At 39.6% G+C, this 21,132-nt stretch overlaps 1 protein-coding gene across 10 annotated transcripts in view; it reads left to right on the top strand.

Annotated features, from left to right (window-relative positions):
• EML6 (EMAP like 6) overlaps positions 1 to 21,132 on the top strand; it is a 248,474-nt gene that overhangs the window by 154,048 nt on the left and 73,294 nt on the right. For all 10 annotated transcript variants that reach the window (XR_001738743.2, XM_017004098.3, XM_047444299.1 and 7 more), the window contains 5 exons: positions 1,948 to 2,041; positions 13,455 to 13,555; positions 14,855 to 15,057; positions 17,316 to 17,427; positions 17,674 to 17,801. Coding sequence is in view for 9 of the 10 variants with exons in the window: in XM_017004098.3 (XP_016859587.1) it covers positions 1,948 to 2,041; positions 13,455 to 13,555; positions 14,855 to 15,057; positions 17,316 to 17,427; positions 17,674 to 17,801 (638 nt within the window). In the remaining variant the exon portion in view is untranslated. The remainder of the gene's footprint in view (positions 1 to 1,947; positions 2,042 to 13,454; positions 13,556 to 14,854; positions 15,058 to 17,315; positions 17,428 to 17,673; positions 17,802 to 21,132) is intronic.

A 21,132-nucleotide genomic window follows, 5' to 3' on the forward strand; every position in this document is an offset into this window, starting at 1 on the left:
CATTACCAATTCCTTCTCCTAAATGCTAAAGAGGGACCTTGCCCAATTTAAAGCCTGGTAACATTTAAGCATAAGGGGATATCATTAGTTGTTTTTGAAAGACGTAGTTTATAATAATCACCTGGTGATGATTTAGCCCTTAAGGAAAGTGTTAACGTCTTCATCTAATACTACAGCCTAGTAGCTTGAAAGGGTCAGGTAACTTTCAAATCCTTGCCTCATACTTCGTAGTGATGGAGGGTTGGAGAGGATTTGGTTTGTTAAACCAGACTTTTTCTTTCTCTGACTCTCCTTCATCCAGAAAAGGAGGAGACTACCATTTCCAGTTGGTTGGAGGAGGGTCTCTTGCATAAGCAAGGGCCCTCAAAGCATGGGCATTGGTTAGCAATTGAGATGGGGTTGCCAGATTAAGCCAACAAAATTTTAGGAAGCTCAATTAAATTTGAGTTTCAGGTAAATAATTTTTGTCATAAGTGTATTCCATGCAAAATAAGGATAAATATGTAATATACATATAAATATTGCATGGGACATACTTGTACTAAGAAATTAGTTACTGCTTACCTGAAATGCCAGTTTAACAAGGTTTTCTATATTTTATCTGGCAACCCTAATTTGGGGTATACTGCAGGTCTGCCTTTGAAAATACCGGTTGGGACCTCCGAGTGGACTGGCAGAACTGGAAGAGGCAATTTATCACAGACCTGTGTTGCTTTATTTACCCTCATGGCTGGCCCTTGGTAGTCAGAGAAGAGCCCTGATATACTGATGCAGGATGAGCTTGATCACTCGTCTCCTAGCAACCGCACAGCTAGTGGAAGGGAGACTGCTGACCCAGAGATGGTTCTGTGTTGAATCTAGCCTTGCAGGAAGGCAGCAAAGGAAAGGCTTTTTGACTATACCTCTTCTTTTGTCTTGAAGGGAAAAAGCAAATTAAGTGTTTTTATTTGAAATTTAATTGTGCATTCAGTATATTTTTAAAACAATTTTTGGGAAAATAACCTAAATGTCCAAATTATAGTAATCATGGATAATTATTATTCTCTTAGAGAAATAAATTGTCCTGGAAATGTAAAGCAGACAAGCGATGTGAAAACTAGACAATAAGCAGTTATACATAGGGATTTACAGTAATCTATTCTTGCCACTTTTCTAAACAATTATAAGTAATATTTAATACTAAAGGAAAATGTTCATGATATAATAGATGAAGAAAGATAAGATAACCTGTTCATTATTATTCTGGTATTGTTTTTTCTAAGCACATTTGTGTAAAGATTGGTAGGATATATATCAAATGTTAGCCTAGAAATTGGGAAGATTTAAAAATTTTCTGTATCCATATTTTCTAAATTTCCTATAACAAGTACACTACATTTGAAATAGGGAACATAAAATTTTTAAATTGTAAAATCATCTTTTGAAAGAATTTTTTAAGTTAAATTTAGTTTCTATAATGTTCCTAATTTGGAGAATTAACTGAACCCAGTTTTTAGAGCTGAAAATGGTCTCAGGATCACAAAGCCAAGTGGTACCTCAAGTTAAATGTCATGAGATTTGTTTGTCACAAAATAGACATAGTTTTTGTAGCTTACCTGAGAGTCTCCCTCTAGCTCTGTGTCTCAGAATGTCAGGTCGGCAGTTTACTTCGGCAGCCCGTTATGCATTAGGAAGCTCGGCTATCTCTAGTCATGCATTTCATTCAGCGAGGTCCATTTAGTATATGATACCCCTTATGTATTAAAATATAATTGTACATGTTTATAGAGTATAGTGTGATGTTTCAGTACATGTATACATTGTATAATCAAGTCAGGGCAGCTATCACATCCATCACCTCAAATATTTATCAGTTCTTAAGATCAGTTACTTATTCCTCTTTACAGTGTATGAAATGTTTTGTTTTTTCATGGAAGAAATTTTGACATTTGTGTTGTTTTCATACAGCCGATGGAAAATGTCTGGTGTCGGTTGGTTTAGACGATTTTCACAGTATTGTATTTTGGGACTGGAAAAAGGGAGAAAAGATAGCCACAACAAGGTAAGAAGCTGCCGGGATCTTACGGTATCCTGCTGATACCACGGTTCAGTAAAGGTCAATAGTTTTCATTTTCTGGTAAGATTTCATCTTCAAACTCAGGTGAAATTGACGTAGAAGGCTTAGCACCTAAGTGAAAAAATACTGCAGTATTTCATGGTGCCAAACCTGACTTAGAGCAGGTCATGTTTGTTGCGGTGAATCAGAAAATTCCGAAATCCTCTGCAGAGAGTCATTCACCGCTTCATTTTGAGTGGTCTGTGTAATCTGTATCAAAGCACTTCAGCAATAGAAAAGCAGCTTTTCTCAGGCTGGTGCCTTGCCCCTTGTTTTTCTTCTGTCCTAGCATCTGGTGAAGGATTGTCAATGTCACCAGAATCAGAAGCACCGTTTGTCATGAGGCTGCAGCATGCTGGAAAGGAGGCCCCACCGTGTGCATCTGCCACTTGCTTTCAAAGCAGGCAAATTGTTTCCCTAATCTTCCGTCTTATAAATAGATTTTTTGAGACCGACTGCTGTTTATAGACCACCTGTCCTCCCTTACCCCAGCCTTCCTGCCTGCTGAATCAGCACTAAGTCTGAACACGACTTTCCACTCCTACTTACATTGAGCTCAGCTGTTTGCCCAACCCTGATCAGGGGTCAAAATAGTTGGCAGCCAAGGCCCAGCAATACAATTTGTTGCCGAGGCGTGTTGTCAGTGTACCTCCCTGCTCGTTCTTCTCTGCATTAATGATGTCCTTTCTGTCTTGCGATATAAAATCATTTTGAAGTTAATAGCCTTGAACCCCAATATTCACTTTTTAAAGTAATATTTTCCTCTACAATATTAAATAGGAAAAAAGTTTTGTGGGGATTTAATGAATGAAGATTTATAAATTGCTAGAGACCTGGAGGAGCAGCAGATGGAGGCATGAGGACTCCAACTGACCATCTTCGGAGAAAAAGGGAAGCTTTTCTGATGACTGCTGTTGAGATTGAATTCTTGGCAACAAATGACAGCTCATAAATCTGCCTGCCCAAGTGGTTTTTCTTCTGGTCTTTGTTTCTAGTATTCCTCACTGTCATTCCACTCCCTTCTAGTAGTACTCAGATTCAGCTTCTCATCAGAACTCTGTTCCCCCCAGACTAAAATACAGAATTTAAGTTTAATATTTCTGATAATATACCATCTGCCTTTACAGATAATTTCAGGGAAAGCACATTTCTGGATTTCAAAAGCAACAGAAATGCAATTTTCCTGCTAGAAAACCCTCTGCAGCTATGGGTGGCTCACCAGTTTTATGCCCGAAACATTAATAGAAATGGAAGAAAGAAATATTTCTTAATATTAAAATAGTATATATTTTATATACTTGTTGGATAGTGTTACTGCCTCTATTTAACACAAAGTTGACTTAACACCATTATGTTAATAACACAATTCATATTTGGAATTGCTCCCAAGCCTTATGACACATTCCCAAAACAGGATACCTGCAGAATTGCCCAGGAGAACATTTTGGATTGACATTAGCCAGTGCTGTTTCCAAGCAGGAATATCAAGGATTAAAGTTCTTTGGAAGAACAGTAGATTTTACAGTAAAAAGTAAATAAAAGTTACTTAAATATCTATTTGCATAATATTAACAATGATACATATTTACATAAATACATAAGAAATTTAGACAAATAAATAAAGCTTATATGTATGGCCTTAGAGTGCTTAAGTAGATAGAAACTTTTAAAAACAGGAGGCCGGGCATGGTGGCTCACGTCTGTAATCCCAGCACTTTGTGAGGCTGAGGTGGGCGGATCTCCTAAGGTCAGGAGTTCGAGACCAGCCTGGCCAACATGGTGAAACCCCGTCTTTACTAAAAATATAAAAATTAGCCAGGCGTGGTGGCGGGCGCCTGTAATCCTAGCTACTCAGGAGGCAGGAAAATCGCTTGAACCTGGGAGGCAGAGGTTGCAGTGAGCCACAATTTAGCCACTGCACTCCAGCCTGGGTGACAGAGTGAGACTCCGTCCCAAAAAAAAAAAAAAAAAAAAAATTTAAACAGGGGCATGATAGAAGCGACAACGAAGTAATCCTTAACGGAATGATACCTTGCTTCCAGGGTCATCTAAGCTCCCAAGAGGGCCTAATTCACAGAGAAGCTGATTCAGTCCTACCCCTCACTTTACACTTCTGTGTCTCGATCACTGCCAGCCTCATTTATAGAGCAAGGCTGAACAATTAACCTGCTTCTGGCTGGCTGTGCTGTTTTGGCAAGGGTGATTGTTCTGTACCACTCATCGCCCAGGAAGTGAGATTTCTCCACAGAGGAGGAGCATGGTTGGTAGCTGTGGTGGCATCGTCAGCTGTGCTGCTGGTGGCTGTGCTGACGTGTGCCAGCTGTGCAACCAGGCACTCAGAAGTTGCTCCTCCCCTGATTGGTGAGAATATTTTAAATGAACCTACTCTTTAGCAGCTCACAGAAACTAGAGAAATTCAGAATTGGACCATAGAGATCTTATTTACAAGATACTCAAGATTTTATTTTCAAGATCTCTGTGAGACGATCCGATCTGTTTAAACAATTTCCCCGCATGCAATCTTTGCTAATTTTTATGAGTGATTTCGGTTACCTCCATTACAAATGAATTTTTTAGTCTTTTTTTTTTTTTTTTCCCTAAAGATCATTCCAATTTTAGTCTAGTATACAAGTATCCCATTTAAGAACCAAGGCTGATCTCTTATAGAAGTAGTTACAGGGTGTAACATCACTGTCAATCAGGGCAGAATAATGCAATGATTAATCAGGTACATCTGTGCTCCTTTATTTGTGCTTGTGTTACTCTGGTAGTGTGACTAGGGGAACAATGAATAGGAGGGATCTTGGACAAAAAAGAATTATCAACAAGAACACTTCCCAGGCTAATCTGAAAGTTTTGCTGCTAGAAAGCTTAGGGACAAAGGCCGGGCGCGGTAGCTCACGCCCGTAATCCCAGCACTTTGGGAGACCAAGGCGTGCGGATCACGAGGTCAGGAGATGGAGACCATCCTGGCTAACAGGGTGAAACCCCGTCTCTACTAAAAATACAAAAAATTAGCCAGGCCTGGTGGCGGGCGCCTGTAGTCCCAGCTACTTGGGAGGCTGAGGCAGGAGAACGGCGTGAACCCGGGAGGCGGAGCTTGCAGTGAGCCGAGATCACGGCACTGCACTCCAGCCTAGGCGGCAGAGCCAGACTCCGTCTCAAAAAAAAAAAAAAAAAGAAAGCTTAGGGACACACTAAGCTTATGCATATGGCAGGCGTATCGAACTTCCAAGTAAGCACTTCTGTATTAGCTTCATCGCTTGATCTATTTTAGGTCCCTACCTTTACATGCATTTAATGACTATGATAGAGTCTCCCGCATACCATATGGGCCCCTTTTCTTTTTCACTTTGTTTTTTAAAATAACACTTATTCTTTCCTCTGTTTTTCAAATAATATATGATCATTATAGAAAAATTAGCAGGGAAAAGCACTTAATAAAAGGAAAATCATCTATAATTCCACTACCCAGATGTAGCCATGGTTAACATTTTAGCATATATCTTTTAGTGTGTATTTTTCTAGTATTTGTATTCATTTTTATTTACATGTGGAGTATTGTACATATGCTCTATAACTGGTTTTTTTCACTCACTAATACATCATCTCACTGTGTTCTAATTTGTTACCTGTCTTGTTCTATATTATTCTATATTTTCAGCCAATTTAAATTTTTTTTGGAGTTAGTATATGTATCAAACATTCATCAGTCTTCCTGTTAAAGGCTACTGCCACAGAAAGGGAGAACAAAATTACACACAGGACTGGGCCTCTATGCAAACAGAGTTCTGAATGGACAGTATGGAAACCAAGTCACCCAGTGTGCAGTTGCCCTTGGCCTCTGGAAGAGGCTCCTTCCTTCGTGCTTGCTGGTGGGTTTATATGGCCCTATGCGGTGAATTCCTTGTGATGGGGCGTGAGGAATCATCCAGTGTTAGGACAGCAGCACAGTGTGTAAGTTCTTATTCTCGCCATCTAAGATCTGACAAACTCTTTGTATTTTGTTTTGCTTACACATACACACATGCACATGTGTGCACAAACACACCTACACTTGCAGGCAACTTCCCTACAAGTTTAACAAGTGTGTATAAGAAAAATGACAGGTATGCAGTGTGTTCTTTATTTATATATTGACATTAGCTAAACATTTACATGCCATCATTAGCCACTTTATAACTAGCCACAACAGAAATAACCTTGGTGTTTTTATGACATAGAGTAGGACAACAAAAGCTCTCACCCAAACTCAAAGTGCTTTTTCCGTTTTCTCACTCAACAACAATCTGCACAGAGACTTCTGTGACCAAACTTGTGGGGATTTCTCCCCACCAGCAAGCAAACAATTCTGTTTGCTGAGTATTCTCTAGTTCCGTTCTATTCTGACACTGTCTACCTGGAGGTAGCCTCAGATGCCACAGGTTGAGGGCTCAGTTTCTGAGACCGTTCCCCTCATCCCACCTTGGGTTCGATTAATTTGCTGGAGTTGCTCAGAGAACTCGGACATACTTACTTCATTTGCCAGGTTATTACAAAGGTTATGGTTGGGAAGCTATATAGGGCAAGGCACGTAGGAAGGGGCACAGAGCTTCCATGGCCTCCCTGGGTGCACCTCCCTCCAGGGATCTCCTTGTGTTCAGCTCTCTAGAAGTTCTCCAAACCCTGTGCTTTGGAGTTTTTACTGGAGGCTTCATTACATAGGCATGATTGGTTTACCAACTGGCGATGGGTGAGCAACTTATCTTTTGATCCCTCTCCCTTCCCTGAAGGTCAGGAATGGGGCTGCAAGTCCCAATCCTCTACTACTGCTTTGGTCTTTCTGGTGACCCATCCTGAAGCTACCTCTGGGCTGGCGGCCATCAAGTCAATCATGAGCATACAAGAAGACCTCCATGGAGATCCTAAGGATTGTAGGAGTAGTAGGTCAGGAAATGGAGGGGGAGAATTGAAGACCACATATGTATTTTGTAATATCACAATGGCACTAAGAAATCAGATGTAAACTAAAAAGTTCTCACAAAAAAGATTTTTGTAAATGTTTGGCATTGTATAAATACAAGGAAACAATCTTTTATCTCTAGGAAATATAATTTTCTGTACTTGTTATTTTCATTTTGGTTTTCTCTAGTCTCTCTAAAGTATATATTAATGATTTTGTATCTAGGGAGATTTTCCTCCAATCAAGAAATCATTGGGCTGGGCATGGGGGCTCATGCCTATAATCCCAGCACTCTGGGAGGCTGAGGCAGGTGGATCACTTGAGGTCAGGAGTTGCAGATCAGCCCGGCCCCCGTCTCTACTAAAAATACAAAAAATTACCCGGGCATGATGGTGCTGTAGTCCCAGCTGCTTGGGAGGCTGAGGCATGAGACTCATCTGAGCCCGGGAGGCAGAGGTTGCAGTGAGCCCAGATTGCGCCACTGCACTCCAGCCTGAGTGACAGAGTGAGATGCTGTCTCAAAAAAAACCTGGCACGGTGGCTCACGCCTGTAATCCCAGCACTTTGGGAGGTTGAGGCGGGCGGATCACCTCAGGTCAGGAGTTTGAGACCAGCCTGACCAACATGGTAAAACCACCATCTCTACTAAAAATATAAAAAATTAGCCAGGCATGGTGGCACATGCCTGTAATCCCACCTACTCAGGAGGCTGAGACAGGAGAATCACTTGAACCCGGGAGGCGGAGGTTGTAGTGAGCCGAGATCATGCCACTGCATTCCAGCCTGGGCAACAAGAACGAAACTCTGTCTCAAAAAAAAAAAAATTTTTTTTGGATGCTTAATGTTTTTATGGTTATCTGGTTGATTTCTTCTCTTGGTGTTAAACACATTTCGTCTTTAGATCTTTTTCTCCCCTAATTGTTAACGATATGTCCAGTAATGTATCCTAGCTCCAATATCCATATTCACTTTTTGATTTTCTTTTTTTCTTTTTTGATGGAGTCTTGCTCTTTCTCCCAGGCCAGAGTGCAGTGGCGCTATCTCGGCTCACTGCAAGCTCCACCTCCCAGGTTCACGCCATTCTCTTGCCTCAGCCTCCTGAGTAGCTGGGACTACAGGCGCCAGCCACCGCGCCCGGCTAATTTTTTGTATTTTTAGTAGAGATGGGGTTTCACCGTGTTAGCCAGGATGGTCTCGATCTCCTGACCTCGTGATCCCCCTGCCTCGGCCTCCCAAAGTGCTGAGATTACAGGCGTGAGCCACCACGTCCAGCCCACTTTTTGATTTTCAAAGAGTCAGAGCCCCAAAATTCCATCTCTTCCTTGCCTCTCATCGTAGGGTTCACATTCATGTAGCCATAATGGATCAAGAGACATTCTATTCTTTTTATTGTGGAAAATTTCAAAGTTATGCCAAAGTAGAGGGAATAGCATAATGAACCTTCTGTACCCATCACCCAACTGTGACAATGATCAGCATACTACACATTGCACAAATGTTTCCTTTTTTTTTTTTTTAACCTTCTTTTTTTTTTTTTTTTTTTTCTTGAGATGGTGTCTTGCTGTGTCACCCAGGCTGGAGTGCAGTGGCGTGATCTTGGCCCACTGCAACCTCTGCCTCCTGGGTTCAAGTGATTCTCCTGTCTCAGCCTCCTGAGTAGCTGGGATTACAGGTGCCTGCCACCACGCCTGGCTAATTTTTTGTATTTTTAGTAGAGATGGGGTTTCACAATGTTGGCCAGGCTGGTCTCTAACTCCTGACCTCCTCAGGTGATCCGCCCACCTCAGCCCCCCAGAGTGTTGGGATTACAGGTGTGCGCCACCGCGTCTGGCCTCTTTCTTTCTTCTATTATTCAGCTTCATCTTTTACATTTAGATCTGGTGAGAATGGAAAATGGTGCAGCAACTTGGAAAACATTAGTGCCTCAAAATGTTAAACACAGGCCTCCAACTTCTCCACATTCTGGCCAACACTTGTTATTGTCTGTCATTTTTATTATAGCCACCTCATCAGTGTGAAGTGGTATCTCATTATGGTTTTCCTAATAGCTAATGATGTTGAGCATGTTTTCCTGTGCTGACTGGGTATATTTTCTTTGTAGAATAGAGTGATTTGTCTTTTTATTATTGAGTTTTAAGAGTTTTAATATATTTTGAATATAGGTCCCTTATCAGATATATGATTTGCAAATAATTTCACCCATGTTCAAGTTTTTAGGCAAGAATGCTTTATAGGTACTTCCTGTCACATCAGAAAAGATAAAATCGGTGGTATACCAGAGAGTAGGGAGGCAGTAGGCATGGTCCTTCCCAGATGCAAGCAATAGGGGTATATTATCTGTAGAGAATTTGAAAATAACTAAAAGCCATACTGCTTTTTATTATTCCCATTATCTGGCAATTCTAAACAATGTTAGTGATGGAATTCCTTCCCTCCAGGATGGACCACTTCCCCTGCACCACCCTTTTGTACACTACTGCCCAGAACATCTAATTTTTCTGCTGTCAGTAATACTCAGCTCAGTTGGTGGGTTCTGGGAGCATTGACCTGATCCTTTCATTATACAGCTCCCCATCACCACATTTTCTAATGGTTGTAGCATCAGCTGACAACCTTGGGCTAAATTGGTTACTTAGTTCAGGGTTCAAAGTGGCAATTTTCTAATTTTATCATTCATTCTTCACGTTAGCTAGAATTATTTTATAAACAATTTTCCCTCGTGAACCATTTGGTTTCTCTGAAATATAATTCTCACAGAAAGTGATTCTTTAAATGTTAGGGTTATTTGAGTTTTGTCTATAACTTGCTGATTTTTTTCCCAGTTTGTCATTCATCCTTTGAATTTGCTGTGGTGTTTTTCATCAAGCAAAAGGTTTATATTTTTATGTGGTTAAATTTATTAATCTTTTATTGCTTTAAGATTTTTGTATTTAGAAAAATACTGCCCATTCTCACATTAAAAAGAAATCACCTATTCTTCTAATGTTCTATGGCTTCATCTTTTATATTTAAGTCTCTAAATAGTTTAGAATCTATCCTAGTATCTGAGGAACAGGTCCAGCTTTCTGTTTTTTCCATATGGCTACCAAGGTGTTCCATTTTTTCCCTTTTTAAATAGATTTTATATTTTAGAGTGGTTTTAGATTGACAGCAAAATTGAGCAGAAAGTAGAGAGAGTTCCCATTACCTCCTGCCTCCTCATATGCACAGCCTCCCCTACTATCACCCTCCTGCACTAGACGGTACATTTGTTACAATTCATGAACCTACCTTGACATATCATTATCACCCGAAGTCCGCAGTTTATATTAGCATTCACTTGTTTTGTACATTCTGCGAGTTTTGACAAATGTATATTGACACATATTTTTCATGTAGCGTTACCAAGCTAGCAATGGGCTTGCTGCCCAAAAAGCATAGACGCCAATACTATGCCACCAGCTTTTGTGAAAAGAAAGACTTTATTGCAGTTTGACGGGCAAGGAGACAGGAGGCAGTGCTCAAATATCTCTCTCGAGCTGGGGGCTGGGGCAGGATTCATAGCAGAGGGTAATGAGGCATGATCTGATTGGATCTTATAATGCAGTGTGGCCGGGAGACATGATAGGACTGGATCATGCCATGAGGTGTGTAGTTCTTAATTTGGTCCCTGTTCCTTGGGCCAAGCACTAAGGTTCCACCCATGGTTGCATGCTTGGTTCATCTGGGCATGATCAGGTGATGTAACTTGCAACCTGGGTTACATGATAACTGAAAAACAACTCACCATTGTATTATATAAAGTTGAACCAGATTGGGCTGATTCTGCAGTTACAACAGTATATTCAGGAGAGTTTCACTGCCCTAAAAGTTCTTTGTGTTCTGCCTATTTATCCTTTCATCCCTCCTCCCTCCTCTGTATACTGTGGCAACCACTAATTTTTTACCCATGTTAGTAGTTTTTACCTTTTCCAGAATGTCATATAATTGGAACTATATAGTATGTAGTCTTTTCTGATTGGCTTCTTTTACTTAATGATATATATTTACATTTCTTCCATGTGTTTTCATGATGTGGTAGTTCATTTCTTTTTGGTGCTGAATAATATCCATTGTCTGGATGTACCACAGTTTGTTTACCCATTCACCTGCTGAAGGACATCTATGTTGCTGCCACATTTTGACAATTATGAAGCTGCTATAAATATCCATGTGCAGGTTTCTGTGTGGACATAAGTTTTCAGCTTATTTAGGCAAATATCAAGGAATGTAATTGCTGGTCGTATGGTAAGAATATGCTTAGTTTTGTGAGAAATTGCCAAACTGTCTTTCAAAATAGCTGTATCATTTTGCATTCCCACCAGCAATTAACAAGAGTTCTTAGCACTCCACAGACTAGCCAGCATTTGGCATCAAACACCATTTATTTTAAAAGTTCATCTTTCTCTTGCTATTTATGTAAAACCTTGTCTTTGTTATACACTACATTTTTATATTCATTTGTGTCTGTTTCAAGATTTTCTGTTTTGCCATTTGTCAGTCAACTCATACACAGGTACTATACTGTTTTAATTATGGAGCCTTTATAGATTGTTTTAATACCTAGGAGAGCTACTCTCTGCACTCTGCTTTTCTGTTTCCGTTTTCCTGGTCATTCCTGCTGGCTTATTCTTCCATGAGAGCTTTAAAATCAAATTGTCTAACTCCAGATTAAACACACACACACCCCGTGGTCTTTTTATTGGAACTAAGTTGAATTTATAAACTAAGGGATAACTGCTATCTTTAGGATTGAGTTTTCCTTTCCAAGAACATGGGATATAGTTCTGTTTTTTAAAGTCTGCCTTTTTAATCTTACTTATCAGGTCTTTTTTTCTCTCTTCACTTTTATGTTACATGTATCTCGTTGAGTTTATGCCTTGTTATTTTTATTGTTTATAAATAGAGTCCTCTCCTCCATTATATTTTTCAACCAGTCACTGTATATACAAAGGTTATTGATTTGGTATTCAATTTTATATACTGTACCTTTACTAAAATGTCTTATTTGTAGTCATTTTAAAATTTCCTTTTTAATTTTTTAGACATATATCCTTTGCAAATATGAATAGTTTTAGCTCTTCCATTCCAGCTCTTGTGCCTTTTAAAATCTCCTCTAGTTGCATTAGTTTATATGTTCAATACGATGTTAAATGGTAGTGGTAATTATCCTGACTCTATTGGGAATGCCATTAAGTAACAGTCCTTGGAGTGTGCACACACAAATATGACGAATAAGCTATTCCAGTGTGTTCTATCTTTAAAGAAAAGATAATGACACATAGCATGTTTGGAGAGCCAGCCTATATGTAGTTAGCTTGAATAAATCTGGGTTTCTCAATGACAAAGTACAGGGAAATACAAATGTCTAAATGACAAGTCTGAAGCATCCTTTAATTTCTACTGTATTGGGTGTTGAGTGGTTTATTTTTTAAATCATGGGTGACTGTTAGGTTTTTGTCAAATACCTTTTCAGCATCTGAAAATGATAATATGATTTTTCTCTTTACATCTATTAATATGATCAATTGTATTACTTGATTCCTTAATATTGAGCCACCCTTGTGTTTGGTCCTAATGTATTGTTTTTAATATGCTTTCAGATTCTGTTTGCTAATATTTATGATGTTTGTCTCTATATTCGTAAGGCAGATCGGTCAGTCATGTTCTTCTTTTTAATTGCTTTTTTTACATTATTAAAATTATGTCCTAATATATCAAAGACCATCAAATAGTCCCTCTCATGCTGTGAGATGCCAAGTCTACAGCCCAGGTCTACAATGGAACTTTGCACTTATGTTTGTCCTTCTGCCCCTTAGGTTATAAACCTACCTCTCTGTGCAGCATTCCAAAGTGCCTCGAATCAATAGAAGACATCCTTTCTCTTTCCATAGCTGTGGGTCCAGGGCTTCAACTTCTAAACAATATGTTTCCAGCTGAAAACCCATTTAACCCAGAGCAATGCTTTCCACAGCAAGAGTGATTCATGTGAAGCTTTTCGTTAATACTCTCTTTCCTCCTGCACAAGAGGAGGAAAAGAGAAGTCAATACTATCTCTTTCCTTCTGCACATCCCCACAATTACTTGCAACCCCACAGTGGTGGCATTAATTTTATCTTATGGAGACATTACAATATGTTTTAAATATTTCATTACTTTGCTTAAAGTATAAGTAAATAAACTTTGGCAGCAATATTAGGATAAGAAGAAAGGGTTCAAACATGCAAAGAAAAGCCAAAGCTCGTTATTTTAATGTAGATGCCCGTGTGGATTTTAAACCATTTTCTAATTTAATGGTCCTGTTAGATGTGCTTAAAATTAGACCAAATGCATGCTTTTAATAAAACTGTTACTGCTTCCATCCAAACTAGAATCTTATTTCCTATTTGTCTCTTACAGAGGACATAAAGATAAGATATTTGTGGTAAAGTGTAACCCACACCATGTTGACAAACTGGTTACAGTTGGGATAAAACACATCAAATTCTGGCAACAAGCAGGTACTGTCGTTTGGGTTTATCATTTATGTGATTGAGAGCTTTACCCTAGCTGGAAAGAAAAACAAAACAAACTGTTGCTACTACCTCGCTTGTCTCTGCAATCTAAAATAAAAATGTGCCTAAAAAAATTATCTCCCAAGTTCGCTTAGAACGCTTGAAGCTTAGAACACTCTATATGACGCTATGCATATTCATCAATACCTAGAAAGCTTTGGAAAATGTTCTGCTGTGAAAATAATCATTTTTATATTTAGTCATCTGTTCTGAAAGCAGTAATTATGTTAGACTACTGCACAGGAAATAAAATAATCATTTTGGTTGAGTGAATAAAATTTTATCTATTTGGATGGTTCCTTTATTTATCTATTACTGAATTTAAACCTGAATTAAACCCTGAGTCTGCCCACAAATAGGTGGTCCAATAAATATTGGTGGATTTAATGTTGATAATAATGATGAGTAAATAAGCATGAGAAAACATAGAGGATATCTCATTCTTCTCACTAATAAGTCAGACTTAATACAATTGAATCTGAATTCTTAGTATCAGCTTTGGTGCCAAGCCCTAACTTATTATGCACAAAATGTGAATAAGGTTCTGTTCCAGTGCATTTTGCTTTTAAAAGAAGGTAATGCCACCCAGTATGTCTGGAGAGCCAGCCTGTGTGTAGCTGTCTTGAATAAAGCTGGGTTTCTCAGTGACAGGGAGTGTGGGGAAATGTGAATGTGTAAGGGACAAATCTAATGGCTTGTCCCGTATACTACCTTTTCCTACAAAACAATTCTTTTTTCTCACCCCAAAATAGCTGTTATAAATAAGCAGAGCATATATAACATGCTTATATTTTACATTTACAGTCAGTACTATTTTTATCGTTTTTGGTCAGCATTCATGAAGACTTTGCTTGCTCCTTCAGGCACTTAGTCACTCTTTCTCTTGGCTGACACAGAACTTGTGCTGAGCCTCAGTTAGACGCATGTCTTGGACTGAGATGCATATTGATTGCTCTCTCCAGCCAGACTCTGAGTTCCTTGAATACAGGAACCCTCTTTTCATCTTCATATCCCAACAGTGAGCGCTGCACTTACCACATGTAGGGATTCAGTAAACACTGAGTTAATGAATAAATGAGAAATATTCTTAGAATATTTTTGTTCATGATGTTCTCTGTCACTTTTAGACATCTTTACATAAATACCTAATGAGAGACACCAGGTTTCTCATGGAAGTAGTCCTTCTACATGCTTATAGGAAGTGCCAGATTTTATAAAGTAATAACTGTTCTTGGTCCACTCTAGGTGGGGGCTTCACTTCTAAAAGAGGAACTTTTGGAAGCGTTGGAAAATTGGAAACAATGATGTGTGTTTCTTACGGACGAATGGAAGATCTAGTGTTCTCAGGAGCAGCTACTGGAGATATTTTTATTTGGAAAGACATTCTACTACTGAAGACAGTGAAAGCTCATGATGGGCCTGTGTTTGCTATGTATGCACTGGATAAGGTATGGCCTGTGTATCAGCATTCATTTTCCTCATCAGCCTTCTAAAATTATAAGGTAGTCTTAGGATGGCCCAAGAGGATGCCTGTATCTAAAACAGGCCTGTCTGAATTAGGAAGTAGTTGTCATAAAGCTCAGTCAAGAGACAATAGGGAGGAAAGCAAAGATATTTTTATAATTTCGTTTACAGTTGTTTCTTTATATGCAACTTCTCTGCACTTTTTCCACACATGCTCTTCCTGGCGCCCACTCATGAGAGTCCCTTAAGAAGTGCCAGGATAAATGTGGACACTTAGCAGCAGAAGAGTCCTGAGAAATACTTCAGCATTGTCTTCCTCCTTGGTGACACAATGGGCAGAGACCTGAAAGTACCAAATGGTTACATTATTGTTCCAGACGTCCATTTGCTACGATAAATTTGCATCCATAACCAACTTGCTCCTGTGTAGAAAGGCTCAGCTTTAACAAGAGTGTTAGAGTGAAGGCTGTTCATTGGCCATATTACAATTCAAGCTCATCATAATTGCCCTGGTCTGTCTACTTGCCTTGCAGTGTCCCTCTACAAAGATTACACTTACCTTCTCTCAGTCTGTTTTTGCTGCTGTAACAGAATTTCTGAGACTAGGTACTTTATAATGAACAGAAGTTTATTGGCTCACAGTTCTGGAGGCTGGGAAGTCCAAGAGTAAGGGGCTGCAACAGGGAAGGGCCTTCTTGCTGTGTTACCCAATGGCTGAAGGGCCAATAAGAGTGGGAGGGTCCGAAATCATCCTTTAGTAATGAACCCACTCCTACAATAATGGCATTAATCCATTCATGAGGGCAGACCCCTCATGGTCTAGTCAACTCTGAAAGTTCCCACATCTTAGTACTGTTACAGAGGCAGTTAAATTTCAACATGAGTTTTGGAGGGGGCTAATATTTAAACCATAGCACCTTCAGTGTTTTAAAACACTTTATTCAATCAACTTGCCAGCAAATATCAACTTCTTTTCAGTTATTTCCAGGTTGCTGGTAGTACCACTTCATCTGTGCCCTCTGACCTCCAGTTGAAGCCACCTACTACTCCTAACCCATGTCTCAATTTTCTTTTACCTGTCCTTAGGCAAATGTGTTGATTCTACTACAAAAGTAGGTTCTTGTTAGGTATGCAACTGTAACGGTTGTTTTGCTGGCAAAGGTGTTGTTTTGTTTTGTTTTGTTTTTTTATTGGTACATATGTTTTTGGTTAAACTGCAAGTATTAGAAAAGATTAAAGAAGAAGAAAGAATTTCTGTAGGCCCAGAAGTAGATATGGTGTAACTTGTTTAAGCTCTTGTTGTTTGGTAAATTAAGCTGCAAAATCATGAGAAAAGACAAGGATATCACAATATAATATATTGCATTTTAATTTAATTTGGGGATTGAATTTTCCTGGGTACAAATTCTATATAAGAATAAGGATATTTAGTGTTATACACTTGGAAATATTATTTCTTTGTAAACTTCATAAAAATGCATTAAATTAAAAGTTGCTAAGAAAGCAGTGAATTACTCAGCTTTTTTCTTAGAAAAAAAAAAAAACCTCTAAGAACAGTTGGTATATATAATAAATTACCAGAAAGGAAAACTAGTACAGCCAAAAAATTATAAGCTTAGAACAGGAATAAAGATCACTGTTCAGTAAAAAATATCCAATATGTTAAGCTTTTTACTTTCCAGGTTTTTGTAAAAATTAATCTGGATTTTAATTATGGAAATTGTGTCTATTGAATGAAATAGGATCGTTTCATTATATAAAGTACCTAAGCTACTCTTAATAAATAATGATGTTTTCTTCTGGACATGACTTTTATTTTTAAATGTTTAACAATAATTTTAAACTGTGATGTTAACTTCAATCCATTTGGTCAGAGTATGTGAGATACCAGAAACTCTGCTAGGTTTTGAGGCTGGTTCCATTCTGTAGGAACCACATTCTGGTTGGGAGACTGGGCACAAGCAGAGCCATCCTTGATCAGTGGGCCAGCTGCCAACCATTGTTCTGAGGAGAGTGCAGTGGACACATGCTGAGAACGTGCTTAATCTTGCTTAGGGAAGTATGGGAGAAATGCTCCCAAAAAATATTATTCGAACATTGTTATCACCAGAGTTTTCCATCTCATATATTTAGGAAGGTAGCATCCACAAAGCTTCCTTACCTGCGGGGAATCCTCCTGGGGCCAAGTGGGTAATTGGTCATTTTGATGTGTATATAATACCTCTCATGTGTGCCTTCACAGGGCTTTGTAACAGGTGGAAAGGACGGCATCGTGGAGCTCTGGGATGATATGTTTGAAAGATGTTTGAAGACTTATGCCATTAAAAGATCAGCATTGTCGACTAGCTCAAAAGGTGCCACTCCCAAACATGTAATAGAGATCTTTGTATTCATAGGGATGGAGAAGATTGTACTAAAGTTTTTAGAAAACTATTAGCAAATCAATTTTCTCCCTCTTCCATGTTTAGAACTCTCTTCCTCTGGTAGAAATGTCAAGGCTGACTGCCTAGTACCTAGTTCTTTGGAGCTATAAAAATTGAATTTATACTAATAAGCAGTTGTTTTTGTTATTGTGTTAAATATACCATCCCCTTCCCCAGGCTTGCTTTTGGAAGATAACCCTTCAATTCGTGCCATCACTTTGGGACATGGACATATCCTGGTGGGAACAAAAAATGGAGAGATTCTGGAAATTGATAAGAGTGGCCCAATGACACTGCTTGTTCAGGTACTGTTTGTATGTATTCTAAACTGCAGTTCACATCAAGGCTGGGACTAGAGTGAGGCAAAGTTGATGCTTAGGTTGCAAAACTTAAGGAGGCACTCACTCTCAGGGTTGCACAAGAGTTGAACTAGTTACCTATTGCTGTGTAACAAATTGCCACAAGCTTAGCAGCTTAAAACAACACACATTTATTTTCTCACAGTGTCTGTGGATCAGGAATCTGAGCACAGCTTAACTGGATCTTCTGCTTAGTGTTTTATAAGGTTGCAATAAAGGCCAGGGTTATGGTCTCATCTGAGGCTAAACTGGGGAAGATTTTTCCAAGCTCACTCATGTTGTTGGCAGAATTAAGTTGCTTGTAAGTGTAGGACTAAAGGCTTTTTTTTTTCTTGCTGGCTGTTGGCCAGAGGCCATTTTCAGCTCCCAGAGGCTGCCCACAGTTCCTTGCCACATAGGGTTTCCCAACATTGCTGCTTTCTCAAAGCCAAAAACAGAGGGGAAAAAAATAGATACTACAATTTTATGTTACATAATTATGTCATCACATATGTGGAATCATAACATTCCATTGCCTTTGCCATATGCTGTTGGTTAGAAACAAGTCACAGGTCATACCACACTCAAAGGGAGGTGATTATGCAAGAGTGTGAAAACACAAGAGGAGTATGAGGGTCACCGTCACTGGCCACCCTCTGGCCACCAGTTATTCATGTCCCTACCACATACAGAATCCTTTACCTCCACCTCCAAGGTCCCCAAGAGCCTTATCACATTACAGGATCTGCTCAAAGTCCAGAATCTCATTATCTAAATTGGGTCCAGGTGTGGAAGAAGTGCCTTAGATGTAAGTCCTGTCAATCTGTCCGTCCATAAAATGAACAAGACAAATTACCTGCTCCCCACATGCCAGATGCACCTGTGCCCCTTTGGAATGTGGGCCTCACTATAGTCTCAGCCTTGGTCCACATAAGCAAATTGCATCCTCCTTAGTCCCTGTCTTCCCTCAAAAGTCATATTTAGGTAAAATTGAACTAAAATAAATGTAACAGAACCTTTTAGGAGCCAAGAAATGATAAAATCTCACCTCAAGGATGGGGATGTGGTAGGATGTGGAGGTGCGTTAGGTAGTCCTGCCCAGTTTGGTGATGGATAAGACCATATTTAGGTGGAAGAGGCATGGTGAGGGGTGAAGGATGTGTGTTCAGAAGTTGGAGAGAAAAGAAAATGCACTGATCATATGAGCAGTCAGAACTTCCAAGATTCCAGTGCAGGAGCTTCCCCTCCTTGCCTTGATCTCTGAGTGATTGATGCCTGCAGGCTTGCTGTATTACGAGTGAATCCCCAAATCCCACTGAGAGGGTCCCTCTGACTTACTGTATCATGGAAACACATGTGCATATACACTATGGCTCAGGACACTGCAAGGCTTTAAAAACACAGGTGCCCAAATCCCACCCTGGATATCCTGAACAAGTCTGTGTTTTTAAAAGAAAAAATCTATGTTAAAAACAAACCTCGAAAGCTCTGCAGCTGGTCGTGCCTTGCAGCCAGGCTAGAGAACTAGGCTGGAGATGCATCCTTGAGGCAATGAGGTCTTTGTTCTCCAGCTGTTCTTGCTTTTGTTGTTTTCTTCCAAACTAAATCTTTTTTTTTCTGGCCATAACTTCTAATTTAATTTTACTGAAAAGTATTTATTTACTTTTTAATCTCCAAATGTTTGAGAATGTAAATTGTTTCCATGTATGCTATATTGCTAGATATTTTAGAAGATTTATGCCCCAATATGATTTAAATAATACTGTAAGATCTAAACTTTGTTTTCTCTCTTATTTTGTTACACTTGAGGTAGTTTGGTTTAAATATGTTTTATGCTTGACCAAGGCTTTTCACTTCTTAATTCTCTACAATTCTATTCTTTCCTATGTTTGTTTCTATTGCTCTAATAAGAAAAATAACCACAGCAATCATATATTGAGCACCTACTCTGTGTCAGGCAATACCGTTGTACGACATTTGTCTCATCTCCACAACAGATTGGCTCTGTTACATTGTTTTATAGATGAGGGACCTAAAGCCCAGAAAATTACCCACAGTCACATGCTAAGAACTGCAGAGCTGGGATTCCAACCAAGGTTTGCCAGAGCCCTTGTTCACCTCACCAGGCTGTTCCCCACATCTCTTAGCTTGGACACTTCAGGAAAGCCCCTGAGCTATGGGGTGGCTGGTTGAGCTGCTGGAAGCTTCAGACCAGATGTTAGTTACCATCTTTGCCACCTACATGTGTACCATTCTCTCCCTTTTTTTTTTTTCAGCATCTTTTTTTCGTCTTCTGCTCTCTCATTTGCTATTTCCTCTTAGGTGGATCTCATTATTTCAGTTCAGTCAATGTTTGTTGGGCTCCTGCCCAGGTCTGCTCTGTGCTGTGTATATGTGCAGTGGAATAAGGGCTTCCTGCTTGCCCAGGACCGTGTCACAGTCCTGTTCTGAGAGATGATAGAGACAGCAAGGGAAAGTGAAGGAACTGTAGAGGCAGTGTGAGTGAGACGATGGGCTGTCCTGCCGGAAGAAGATTTTAGATCCACTTTGCCGGTTTTGGTGGCACGGCAATCCAATCACAGTTGGAATAGACTGCTTATTTTTTAAGAGAAAATAAGGTTGGGGGAGGGGAGAATGGCAGGTGATGGGTTGTGGCATTTCCCGTCATGTGTGCTTTGAAGCAGTCAGCTCGCAGTTGTACAGCTGTTTATGATCAGCTTTGTGGGTGATCAGCAGCAAAGCAGGATCCTAAGCCCATTTCCTTGAGCCATTCAAGGTCCTTCAAGCCTGCCTCGCTTACTGTCCGATCCTGTGTTACACGGGGATTAAAATAAACAGATTAAGGAAATACAATTTTGATGTCAATATAAGGCAGTGGTTTAAAAGGATCTCTGGGTCCCACAATCTTGTTCTTAACTAAAATACACAAAGGGGCTCAGTCTATAGAAGAGCTTCAAGCAGAGTCAGTCTGGGAAGATGTGAGGTTGACCCCTGAGCTGTACCCTGACTGTGACTCTGGGGCTGGGAGGCTTCCAAAGAGAAGGCTAGAAAACCGGGGATGTAGGGTGTCCTCAAATCCAATAAATTCAAAAACAATGTCTGTATCCTTCAGCCCTCATTTTCTCATATTTGAATGTCAGTTGTATTTGGAACTTTACATCTTCTGCCAAATTACTGTTTTGCTCAAATAGCTTCTCAGTTAAATTGGAATCATCCAATTTCTCTTTGGAAAGCCACCTGTTCCCCAAAGCATTCCAGCTACAAACACCTTTCAGATGCCTGTGTGTGGGCTTCCTTT

The sequence above is a fragment of the Homo sapiens genome, chromosome 2, assembly GCF_000001405.40.
Source record: "Homo sapiens chromosome 2, GRCh38.p14 Primary Assembly".
Classification (NCBI taxonomy): Eukaryota; Metazoa; Chordata; class Mammalia; order Primates; family Hominidae; genus Homo; species Homo sapiens.